The sequence below is a fragment of the Homo sapiens genome, chromosome 8 (assembly GCF_000001405.40).
Source record: "Homo sapiens chromosome 8, GRCh38.p14 Primary Assembly".
Taxonomy (NCBI): domain Eukaryota; kingdom Metazoa; phylum Chordata; class Mammalia; order Primates; family Hominidae; genus Homo; species Homo sapiens.
Window position 1 is genome coordinate 108,301,070 of NC_000008.11, and position 13,432 is coordinate 108,314,501.

At 34.5% G+C, this 13,432-nt stretch overlaps 1 long non-coding RNA gene across 3 annotated transcripts in view; it reads right to left on the minus strand.

Moving 5' to 3' along the window:
• LOC105375704 (uncharacterized) overlaps positions 1 to 13,432 on the minus strand; it is a 177,474-nt gene that overhangs the window by 35,071 nt on the left and 128,971 nt on the right. For all 3 annotated transcript variants that reach the window (XR_928530.4, XR_928529.3, XR_928528.3), the window contains exon 2: positions 8,267 to 8,394. This is a non-coding gene — a long non-coding RNA (uncharacterized LOC105375704). The remainder of the gene's footprint in view (positions 1 to 8,266; positions 8,395 to 13,432) is intronic.

The following is a 13,432-nucleotide window of genomic DNA, read 5'->3' on the forward strand; positions in this document are numbered from 1 at the left end:
CTGGGCTACAGAGCGAGACTCTGTCTCAAAAAAAGAAAGAAAGAAAAAAAAGAAGACCTTTTTTATAGTCCTATGTATAACTCATCCTCATAATGAAAGCACTTGTCAAAACTGTAAAATCTTGTATTTTATTTTAAAACAAACCAGAAACATATTTTATTTTTTAAATTATTTTTGTTGTCTTTTTAAAATTAAACTTTTTATGTTGAGATAATTAGAGATTCATATTCAGTTGTAAGAAATAATACAGAGAAATCCTTTGTACCCTTTGCCCAGTCTCCCCTAATGGCAGTAGCTTGCAAAAGTATAATATAACAACCAGGATATGGCTATTGACATAGGGTAGGCTATTTCTGGGTTCTTTATTCTATTCCGTCAAACTACCCACATTTTCCTCCATCAATAGCACACCATTCGATTACTATAGCTGTATAATAGGTCTTAACATTGAGATAGAGTGATTCCTCTCACTTTATGTTTTTTTTCAAAAATTTTTTAGGTATTGTAGAGTCTCATTTTAGTGCCTTTTATATTTGACTTATTTGAAAAATTTGAAATCCAGGTATATAATATATGGCAATTCCTATAAGCCACAATATTTAATTATTATAATCTCATTACTCAGAATTCTGAATAAACAGGATTTTACTTTTAGACCTTTCTTTTATGGTAGTATTACCATAAGCTAGATTACAAAAGCAAGTAATGGGATCTTCTCTGTCAGTATTTGAAAAACATCTATTCCCATTTAGATATGCCATGAATATCTCAGGTCTCATAACTCTAAGATATTCATCCTTTAAAATAATTTTAAATGCTAAAAGTTGTAATATGTTAAACCAATAGGGTGTTCCATAAAATGTTCTGTTTTATCGACCTTTAGCCATATTTACCTACCTATAACCTTTATAAAGCAATAAATAACTGCAAGCACAGAACATGAACAACAAATCCCAAGACCAGCTTATTGAAATGTAACTTTGTCTTTAAAGAATCTGCTGTGCCATTTACCTTTTGAAAATAAAGGCCAAAAAGGACAAACAAAGCTTCAGAAATGGAAGCTCTGATATTAAAGGTACTTGAGTGTGGCGGATATATCTTTATTCATGAGAATGCATGTTTTCACTGGTGGTGCTCTTTTGTAATTGCCTGATTTAATAAATGGGTCAGAATACCTGAGATAAATCTGCAAACTGTTGAATACACTTGCCAATTACTGAATTTTAAAACAATTGGCATCGTAAAATTTTATGCAACCTTCTTTGATATGTGGTACAGCTAATTTCTTTTTGAGGTACGAGGACTTTTTATTTTCTCCCAGACAATTGATTAAAATATTTGTAGTGTCTTTAAATAATGAAACAGGCTTTTAACACAGTGATCTTTTATTGCTGAAAAATGAGAAATCTAACCCTATCAGAAATCACTGCAGCTTATAATCAAAAGAAACAATATAAAACAAAAATATCCTCGCCATACTTGGCAATGCTTCCTCTATTTAGCTAATGAAATCTTTAAGCAAAAAGAGGTTTTTTAATTTTAATTTTTATCAGCTTTATTGAAGTATAATTGACATAAAACAAACAGCATATATTTAAGTGCATAAAAATATATAATAGTCCATAGTAATATATTGTACATTTAAAAGTTTGCTAAGAGGGTAGGTCTCATGTTGTGCTCTTACCACAATAAAGTAAAAAAAAGTGTATAGGTTTTGATGTATGCATACCCCTGTAAAACCATCACCACAAGCTAGATGATAAACATGTCCATTACCTCCAAAAGTTTCCTCATGCTTCTTTTTATTCGTTTATTTAAATTTCAGATTCAGGGGGTACATGTGCAGGTTTGTTACATGGGTATATTGTGTGATGCTGAGGTTTGGGCTTCTAATGAGCTAGTCACCCAAGTAATGAGCATAGTACTCAATAGGTAATTTTTCAACCCTTCCCCCACTCCTACCCTCCCCACTTTTGGAATCTCCAAAGTTTATTGTTCTCATTTTTGTGTCCATGTGTACTCACCGTTTAGCTCTTACTTACAAGTCAGAATATGTGGTATCTGGTTTTCTATTTCTGTATTAATTTCGCTTTGGATAATGCTCATGCCTCTTTTTAATTCTTCCTACCTCCCCTTCCCCAGCGCAGGTAACCACTGATCTGCTTTCTGTCACTATATATTAGTTTGCATTTTCTAAAATTTTATATAAATGAAATTATGCACAGAGTATTTACTCTTTTATTGTTTGGCTTTTTTTTTTTTTTTTTACTTTTTTATTCTGGGATTCATTCATGTTGCTGTATGTATCCATTACTTTTCATTCCTGAAGAATGGATGTACTACATTTGCTGATCCACTCTCCTGCTGATGGCGCATTTGCATAATTTCCAGTTTTTGGCTATTACAAATAAAAGTGCTGTAAATAGTTGTATACAAATTTTTCTATGGTTCCATTCAAACATATGTTTTCACTTTTCTTGTGTAAATACCTAGGAGTGAAATGGCTGGATCATACAGTAGATGTGTGTTTAACTTTTTAAGAAGCTGTCCAAATTTTTTCCAGAGTGGCTGAGCCACTTCAATTTCCACTAGTGGTGAATGACAATTCCAGTTGTTCCACATCCTCACCAATACCTGGTATGGTCAGTTATTTTCATTGTAGACTCACTGTTGGGTGGTCAGTAGTATCTCATTGTGGTGTTAATTTGCACTTACTTAATGACTAATGATATTAAGCATCTTTTAATATGCTCATTTCCTATTCATATATTTCTTTGATGAAGTATCTGTTCTTTTTTTTTTTAATGGGTTGTTTTCTTATTATTGAGTTTTGAGAGTTCTTTTTATATTCTAAGTCCCATATCAGATATGTGATTTGCGCATATTACATTTCATTTTATTGTTTTCTCTTATGGATTGTGCCTTTGGGAGGCCAAGGTGGGAGGACAGCTTGAGGCCAGGAGGAGTTCAAGATCAGTCTGGGCAACATAGTGAGACCCTGTCTCTACAAATAATAATATAGTAATAATATATTAGGTGGGTGTGGTGGTGCATGCCTGTACTTTGGAGGCTGAGGCAGGAGGATCACTTGAGCCCAGGAATTTGAGGCTGCAATGAGCTGTGATTGCACCACTGCACTCCAGCCTAGGCAACAGAATGAGACCCTGTCTCAAAAAAGAGAAATATTTGTCTAACCAAAAGCCCAAGATCTCAAAGTTCTTATACTATATTGTTATTTAGAAGTTTTTTAGTTTTGAGGTTTTACATTAAATATTTGATCCATTTTGACTTAATTTTTGTATATGGTAAAGAGTATGAATCAGAGTAGGCTTTTTATATATGCATAGTCAAGTGTTTCAGAAACATTTGTTGAAAACAATTATCCTTTTTCCATTGCATTGCCTTTGGACCTTTGTCAAAAATGTTGCCTATGCACTTATGGATTTATTTCTGGACTCTCTATTCTGTTCCATTGATCTGTTTGTCTGTCTTTATGCCAATTCTGTACTATCTTGAGTACCATCATGCCCTGAAATCAGATAGTATTTGTCTTCCAACTTTGTTCTTCTTTAGTTGGTTACCCAGGTATTATGGCAGAGAATAGAAAACATCTCTCAGTTATTCTAGTTGGTCCTGAGAAGATGGAATCAAAAATTCAGTTCAAGATGGCTCTGTGAGGGATGTGGTCACAGGTAATATATGGTGATGTTTTATTACTTGTATCTTGGACTTTGTTGAACATAGACCATGTTTCAATTATTGTGGCTGGAACCCACATTAGTCCAGTTCTTGATAAATACTAATTACTGTAGTATAGATACATGACAAGTAAGTGCTGAGTATAACTTTCAGAAGTTACCTTTGTCTTTTGAGTCCCTGATGCATCTAGAAAGAAACTTGAGGGAGTTTTAATGCAAAACTCCATTAAAAATTCAATAGGATTGAGGACTATTTAGTAACATGAAATGACATGTTTATAAATGAGAAACATAGCTAATCTTCTTATCCAATTATCTGCAACAATCCTCAGTAGTCTTTCCCATCCTTTCAGCCCAACCATTAGCTTGAGACCATGCCTGTGAGAAGTGATTAAAAAGTGGGTTGTTTCTATGACATACTGAGTAGGTACTATTAACTCTAGGTCTTTTCCTTTTTGCGAAAGTGATATTGTCAATATACTCTACCTCAGTTGAGTGTGAAAAATTTACGAATAGGAAATTCTCTCGAAGCTAGACAGCATTATAACTGAGAGCCTAAACTTTGGATTCAGATGAACTGGCTTTAAATATTGACTCTGCCTTGTAGTAGCTATCTGGCTTTGCTTCTGTTACCAAATATCTCTAAATTTCAGTTTATCACTTGGAAATTGAAGATACTACGGTGAGTGCTTGTTAGGATTGTTACAAACATTTACATTAGATAATGTTTATAAAACACTTGGACCATATGCACCTGTATGCAGGTACTGTTATGCACTAGGTCAAGGATTCCCAAACTTGCCTGCACAGTAGCATTACTTGGGACCTTAAAAAAAATTTTAAAGCACAATCACTTGGGATGAGACACAGAGATCAACATATTTTGAAACTCCTCAGGAAAATCCAATGTGCACACAACTTGGGAATCATTACCCTAGGTGATTTATATAAATTACCTTAATTTTATAACACTCTATAATTTATACTTTACTTCCATTTTATAGATGAGAAAACTGAGGTTCACACTGAGTGTGTTGAGTAAAGTCATACAGCAAATAGAGCTTAAAAGATTCAAACTCAGGTTGTCTGACCTCAAAATCCCTGCTTTTAACTATTATGCTGTATTTCTTTAAGCAAGGTTCTTAGAAATTCAATTTTTAGAAAATGCAATCTATAGCCAAAATTATATTGTAAATATTTGGCCCAGATTTGTGACTAAAGAAATGAGAGAATTGGAAACATTTTGATGCCATTTGTGAAGGAGTCTATCATAACCCATTAATATAATCTAACAAAATCAATGAAAATTCATGATCAGGGTTTCAGTATTAGTATCCTGGAGTAAACTCTGGTAGATTACACAATGTAGCTTTATATGCGCTTTATATTTTTTTTCCAGTCCTTGCAGTAGTCAAACAAAGTCCAAGCCACTAGTCAGAGCTTCTACCCAGTGTTTTCCTGAGAATAATTCCCAGATGTGCTGCATGTACAATAGCCAAGATAACCTGATGACTAGTTTTTGGAATACTACTCTGTTTGCTATAAAATGCATTCCTATGGGCATGTAATTTACTCCCTACACACCTAATTTAAGATATAGATGAACCAACATCACAGTTCTAGTGGGAACACTATGACAGGCTTTGGTATCTAAGTGGCAGATGGCTCTGAACATCACCATTGGCTATTGCTCTCCCAGGCTTATAAACAAGTTACATGAACTGAGCAAAAAATGACACTTCTGCATACATGATGACATAATTATGGGTGTAAACCTAATCTTAGAGAAGAATCCCAAAAGAGCTTATGTCAGTACAAATTGTAAAGACATTACCATAAGGGTATTTTTTGGATTTCTTTACTTCCATAGCAATTGCAAAGAACTCAATGTTATTTGACAGCAATTCTATTATTGTGAGAACTTTCTGCTTAAGTAGTAGGCAACTATTCTTCAGTCCTACCTGGCATTTTGAGGCTGAGGACTCTCCAGACTTCATCCACTGAAAGAACAGTGGTTTGTTTTCAATGTAACACACTGATGCAAATCAAGAAGTTAATAATACTTTGACATTATGAAAAGTGTTTTCCCACAAGATAGCTCCAAAACTACCAGATGTTATTTTCCAGGAGGCAATAAAATACTCAGCAAGGTTGATTTTTGTTTTAATTTAAGATTTTCTTTTTTTACAAAGGGGAAACAGTTTATTTTCGTCTTATGTTTATAAAAATATTACCTACTCTTTGTAAAATATCCAAGCCATACAAAAAGATATAATGAAGAAAAAATCACCTGATATCTCACTATGCAGTGAGAACCTCTAGGTATGTAGGTGTTCCTCTCTCCATCCTATCCTCCCCCCTTCCTATTATCTATCTATTTATCTACCATATTTGTCTAAAAAAAGTCAATATATACACATGCATGGGGAAAAAACCTAATGTTAGATAATGACATAAAACAAAAAGCAAAGTTCCCTTCTCTGTTCTTTTCCATTCCTAAACCAGTTTTCCAGAGGTTAAATGTTTGTTTTCTCACAATTATTTACACAGATGACTCCAAATAACATGATTTTACTGACATTTTCTTGGTTTATCAACTTTGGATATCATTTGTTGGCTCCCAGCTACAGAGAGTAAAGATTTAGTTCACTCATTTACTTCCTATTTCTTTTTCCTTACTATCAGTTTTAATAATTATATCACTACTTTGATTTCTATTTGTTACTTTCTAGCTTTAAATATTATACTGAAATTGCTACTGATTATTCCATCAACTGTCAAATTTATCTCTACACTTTTCATGTGAGTAAGATGATATTAACATTAGTATTTAAACTTCCACCTCTCTTGCCCATTTTTCAAGTCTCACTTTTTAGATTTATCATATTTATTTATTTTTCTTCTGCAAGAATCTAAAATGAAGAGACCTTCATTAAACCCTTCTCTTCATTACATCCAACCTGTGTAATATAATTCCGCTAAGCCTTGGTAGTGAGTTACATTTTCATTTTCTTAAAAGTATCTTTGGATTAGCAGAAGTTTCTAATTTTGATAAAGTCCATTTTATAATTTTTTTTCTTTTATAGTTGGTGCTTTTTATATATCAAAGATCATTGCCTATTCCATGACTGCAAAGATATTCTTTATGCTTCCTTCTAGGAACTTTACAATTTTCTCTTTTATTTTTAGATTAACAGTCCACTTAAGGCTAATTTTTTTAAAGATAGGGTCTCACTACATTGCCCAACTAGTCTTGCATTCCTGGATTCAAGCAATCCTGCCAACTGGACCCCCTAAAGCTCTGAGATTACAAGCATGAGCCACTGAGCCTGGCTCTGGTAAAATTTTAATACATTGTGATATACAGGTCAGAATATACAGATATGCAGTTGTTCCAGCATCATTTACTGAAAAGATTTTCTTTCCCCTATTGAATTGCCAATATATTTGTCAATTGGCTGAATATATGGGAAGGTCTACTTCTGGATTTTTTATTCTGTTTAATTCATCTATTGGCCTTTTCTTAAGCAAATAACACACTGTCTTAATTACTGTAGTGCTATAATAAGTCTTAAAATCAGTTATCCTAAGTCCTCCAACATTTTTCTTTTACTTTTTTCAAGATTTTGACTATCTTAGGTCCTTGCATTTGCATATAACATAACATTTCATGTTAGATTATTAATTTCCACCAAGAACCCATTCTGAGTTAGAAGTACGTCAATCTTACCGATCACTTAGGGGAGAAGAACAGCTTTACAATATTGAGTCTTGCAACCAACCAAGTGCATGACATATACATACATTTATTAAGCTTCTTAATTTCTTTTTTTCTGTTTCGTGGTTTTCAAAGTGGAGATCCTTTATACCTTTTCTTAAACTTATACATTTTTATATTTTTGACACTATTATAAAGGGTATATATTTTTAAATGTTATTTTCCAATTATTCATTGAAACAATATAGAAATACTGACTTTGTATCTTACAGCCTTGCTGAATACACTTACTGGACTAATAGATTTTTGGAGACATATAGAACCATGTTGTCTGTGAATAAAATCAGTTTCATTTCTGCTTTTCCAATCTTTAGTCTTCATTTACCCATTTCTTTATATGTTTAGTCTTCATTTACCCATTTCTTTATATGTTATATCCATCTTTTCCTGTAGATGTTTTAACATATTTGTCATAGTTATTTTAAAGTCTCTTTCTGCTAATTCTAACACCTAGGTCCTTGGTTGGTCACCTTCTATTTAGTATAAGTCACATTTTCCCATTTCATCACATGTCTAGTAATTTTTTTTGTTATGCTTTGAGTAATAGATTGCAGAGACTCTCGATCTTCCTCTGAAAAGTGGTGAAGTCTTGTTCTAGCAGGCAGTTAAATTACAGATAGATTGCTTTTAACTGGGGGAGGTCTGGTTTTCTCCTGTCAAGACAAGTCTATGTTTCAGTCTTGATGCTCTTTTGATGCATGTAGTCTCTATTCCTAATTCAATGGAAAGCCTGAAGTGTTTACCAAGCCCTTCTAACTTGGCTAGACTTAAACTCCAAAATTTCTCTTACCTGTGGTGGGCAGCCAAAACTCTCGGCTTAGCTCCTTGAACCCTTCCCAGCGTTATCTTCTGCTAGGCTCCTGAGGTTCTCACTGGCACAATCGCAGTTGAGTCATTTGGCCGTTGATTTTGTTTTTACTGTAGAATCAAAATAACAACAACAACAACAAAAGCTGTAATAAAAAGTCTCCCAGCAAAGAAAAGCCCTGAGCCCAATGGCTTCACTGCTGAATTTTGCCAAACATTTAAATAAGAATTAATACCAATCCTACTCAAATTATTCAAAAAACCCAAGAAAGAAATCCTTCCAAGCTCATTCTATGAGGCCAGTATTACCCTGATACCAAAACCAAAGACATGTCAAAAAAAGAAAACTATACCCAATGTCCCTGATAAACATTGATGCAAAAATACTCAACAAAATACTAGTTTCACTCGAGTCCCTGTGAAGAGACCACCAAACAGGCTTTGTGTGAGCAATAAAGCTTTTAATCACCTGGGTGCAGGCAGGCTGAGTCCAAAAAGAGAGTCAGCGAAGGGAGATAAGGGTGGGGCCGTATTATAGGATTTGGGTAGATAAAGGAAAATTACAGTCAAAGGGGATTTGTTCTCTGGCGGGCAGGAGTGGGGGTCGAAAGGTGCTCAGTGGGGGAGCTTTTTGAGCCGGGATGAGCCAGGAAAAGGACTTTCACAAGGTAATGTCATCCGTTAAGGCAAGGACCGGCCATTTTCACTTCTTTTGTGGTGGAATGTCATCAGTTAAGGCGGGGCAGGGCATTTTCACTTCTTTTGTGATTCTTCAGTTACTTCAGGCCATCTGGGCGTATACGTGCAAGTCACAGGGGATGTGATGGCTTGGCTTGGGCTCAGAGGCCTGACAACTAGCACATTTAATTAAACAAGGTATTAAAAAGATCATTCAACATGATCAAGTGGGATTTATCCCAGGGATGCAAGAATGGTTCAATATATGCAAACCAATGAGATACATCACATCAACAGAATGAAGGACAAAAACCATATGAGCATTTCAATTGAAGCTGAAAAAGCATTTGAAAAAATTCAACATTCCTTTACCAAAAAAAGCCTCAAAAAACTGGGTATAAAAGGAACATACCTCAATATAATAAAAGCCATATATGACATAACGGACATAACAGACCCACAGCTAGTATCATACAGAATGGGAAAAAACTGAAAGCCTTTCCTCTAAGTTCTAGAATATGACAAGGGTGCCCAGTATTGCCACTGTTATTCGACATAGTACTGGAAGTCCTAGCTAGATAAATCAGACAAGAGAAGGAAATAAAGGGCATCAAATTGGAAAGGAAAACGTCAAATTATTCTTTTGCAGAGGATATGATTTTATATTTGGAAAAACCTAAAGGCTCCACCAAAAAACTATTAGAACTGATAAATAAATTCATAAAGTTGCAGGATACAAAATCAACATAGAAAAACCAACAGCATTTCTATTATGTATGTCAACAGTGAACAATCTGAAAAAGAAATCAAGAAAGTGATCCCATTTAAAATAACTACAATAAAATAAAATACCTAAGAATAAACTTAACCACAGAAATGAAAGATTTCTACAATGGCAACTATAAAACTTTGATGCAAGAAATTAGAGAAGATGCTGAAAACATAGAAAGATATTCCATGTTCATGGATTTGAATAATCAATATTATATTGTTAAAATGTTCATACTACCTAAACCAATCTACAGATTCACTGCATACCCTATCAAAATACCAAGGACATTCTTCACAGAAATAGAAAACAATCCTAAAATTTATACGGACCCATAAAGACCCAGAATAACCAAAGCCATTCTGAGCAAAAAGAGCAAAACTCACATGACTGAGCTCAAATTATACTACAGAATTACAGTAACCAAAACAGCATGGTACTGGCATAAAAATAGATATGTAGAACAATGGAACAGAAGAGACAAACAAAAAACAAATCCATACATCTACCATGAACTCATTTTCAACAAAGGTGCCAAAAACATACATTGGCAAAAGAATAATCTCTTCAATAAATGGTGCTGGGAAGACTGGACATCAACATGCAGAAGAATAAAACTAGACTCCTATCTCTCACCATGTACAAAAATCAAATCAAAATGGATTAAAGACAAATTTATGACCTCAAAACTATGAAACTACTAAAAGAAAACATTGGGGGAAACTCTCTAGGACATTGGTTTGGGCAAATATTTCTTGTGTAATACCCTACAAGCACAGGCAAGCAAAGCAAAAATGGAAAATAGGATGCATAAAGTTAGAAAGCTTCTGCACAGCAAAAGAAGCAATCAACAAAGTAAAGAGAGAACCCAGACAATGGGAAAAATATTGGCATATTATCCATCTGACAAAGGATTAATAACCAGATGTATAAGGAGCTCAAACAACTCTATAGGAAAAAATCTAATAATCAGATTAAAAAATGGGCAAAAGATATGAAGAGACATTTTTCAAAATAAGACAAATAGCAAGGAGGTATATGAAAAGGTGCTCAACATTGTTGATAATCAGAGAAATGCAAATCAAAACTACAGTGAGATATTATCTCATGCCCATTAAAATGGCTTATATCCAAAAGAAAGGCAATAACAAATGCTGGTGAGGATGTGGAGAAAGGGAACCCTCATACACTATTGATGGGAATGTACCACCACTATGGAGAATAGCTTGGAGGGTCCTCAAAAACCTAAAAATAGATCTATCATATGATCCAACAATCACACTGCTAGGTATATACCCAAAAGAAAGGAAATCAATATAGCAAAGAGATATCTGCACACCCATGTTTATTGCAGCACTACTCACAATAGCCAAGATGTGGAATCTAGGTAAGTGTCCACCAACACAAGAATGGATAAAGAAAATGTGGTACATATATACAGTGGAGTATTATTCAGCCATAAAAAAAGAGTGAGATCCTATCATTTGGAATAACATGGATGGAACTTGAGGACATTATGTTAAGTGAAATAAGCCAGGCACAGAAAGACACACTTTGCATGTTCTCACTCATTTGCTGGAGCTAAAAATCAAAACAATTGAACTCATGGAGATAGAGAGTAGAATGATGTTGCCACATGCTGAGAAGGGTTGTGGGAGTGGGTAAGTGAGGCTGGTTAGTGGGTATGAAATATAGTTAGAATGCATAAGATCTAGTCTTTGACAGCATAACAGGGTGATTTTAGTCAACAATAATTTATTATAAATCTAAAAATAACTAAAATAGTATAGTTGGAATGTTTGTAACACAAAGAAATGACAAATCCTTCAAGTGGTGTATACTCCATTTACCCCGAGGTGATTATTACACATTGTATGCCATATCAAAATATCTTAAGTAGCCCATAAATATATACACCTACTATGTATCCATAAACATTTTTAAAAAAATCAAAATCTTAGGAGTAAATTTAACCAAGGAGGTAAAATATCTGTATACTAAAAACTATAGAAATAGAAGATGACACAAATAAAAGATATCTGGCGTTCATGAACTGGAAGAATTAAGATGTCCATACTAACTAATGTGAGCTACAGATTCAATGCCACCCTATCAAAATTCGAACATCATTTTTTACAGAAATAGAAAAAAACAATCCTAAAATTCATATGGACCCAAAAAAGACCCTAAATACCCAAAGCAACTGAGCAAAAAGAACAAAGCTCGAGGCATCACACTACCTGATTTCAAAGTATATTACAAAGCTATTGTCATCAAAACAGCATGGTAATGGCATAAAAACACACACGTAGACCAATAAAACAGCATAGAAAGTCCAGAAATAAATCCATTCATTTACAGTCAATTTATTTTTGATAAAGATGTCAAGAACACAGAATGGGAAAAGGACAGTATCTTTAATAAGTAATATTGGGAAAACTGGATCTTCATATGCAGAAGAATGAAATTGAACCCTTTCATGGATCATGAAGTAAATTTTTATGTGTGTTTAAATGAAATTCTTTATTTTCATTAATTTATTTAAAGATTACACATGTATTAGAGTTCTTTATTTTCTTTTCATAGGGAAATAATTATCTTTGCAAGGTAGTCTTAGATTTTTCATTCAAGTATTTATTGCTAGGTAACAAATTACCTCAAACTTAATTGCTTAAAACAAAAAATAGTTCATTTGTCCATGGTTCTGTGGATCAGGAAGTCAGGGATTGGCTACGTAGTTTTTCTTCTTCATGAGGTGTCTTGGTGTCTTGAGGGTGCTGGGATGGCTGGAGGTCTAACATAGTCTCACACATATGGTGGGAGATTTGCTGATTCCTGACTGAGGACTCAGCACTCAGCTGGAGCTGTCATCAGAGACCTTGATTTTTCCCCACAGAGTTCTCTCCATGTGGCTGTCTGGGCTTCCCCAAAGCATAGTGGCTGAATTTACTGAAGGTGCATTATAAGCAGTAAAAATAGAAGATGTATAACTTTTAAGGCCCAGGTTCAGAAGTCACAAAGCATAACATTTGCCATTGATCAAAATAGGTACTAAGACTAGTGCAAATTCAGTGGTAGAGAAACTAGGCAAAGCCCTCATGACTAATCACCTCTTAAAAGTCCCACTCCCAATACCATTACTGTGGCAATTAAATTTTAACATCAGTTTTGGTGAGGACATTCAAACCATAACAGTCATATTCCAAAAGAGCATGTCAAATGGGTATGTGTTATGATATATATACCCATTTATATATATAAATTAGAAGGCTGTGCAGAAGCCTTCTAACTTTATGGATCCCATTTGTCCATTTTTGCTTTGCTTGCCTGTGCTTATAGGGTATTACACAAGATACATACATACATATATATATATACACCTATATGTATATATAGGTTTTCATCTATAGCTCCTGGCTCCTAACCCCCATAGCCCTTGTTACAGTCATTTTTAAATAATGTTGGGTGTGTTAGACCTCAGGGACAGGCCTATGACCTTCTCCTGCCCAACATTCACCTGCCCCAAGGCAGGACTCTACTCTTGCCCTGCCTTTCTGATTGTGAATCTTAAGGCCCTCCTCAGAGGGTCCTGCCCTACACCCTGGAGGAAGGAACGCTGATGTCATGAAGTTCCATAAAAACACAAGAAAACTTGGTTCAGAGAGCTTCAGGATAGCTGACCATGTGGGGGTTCCTGGAGAG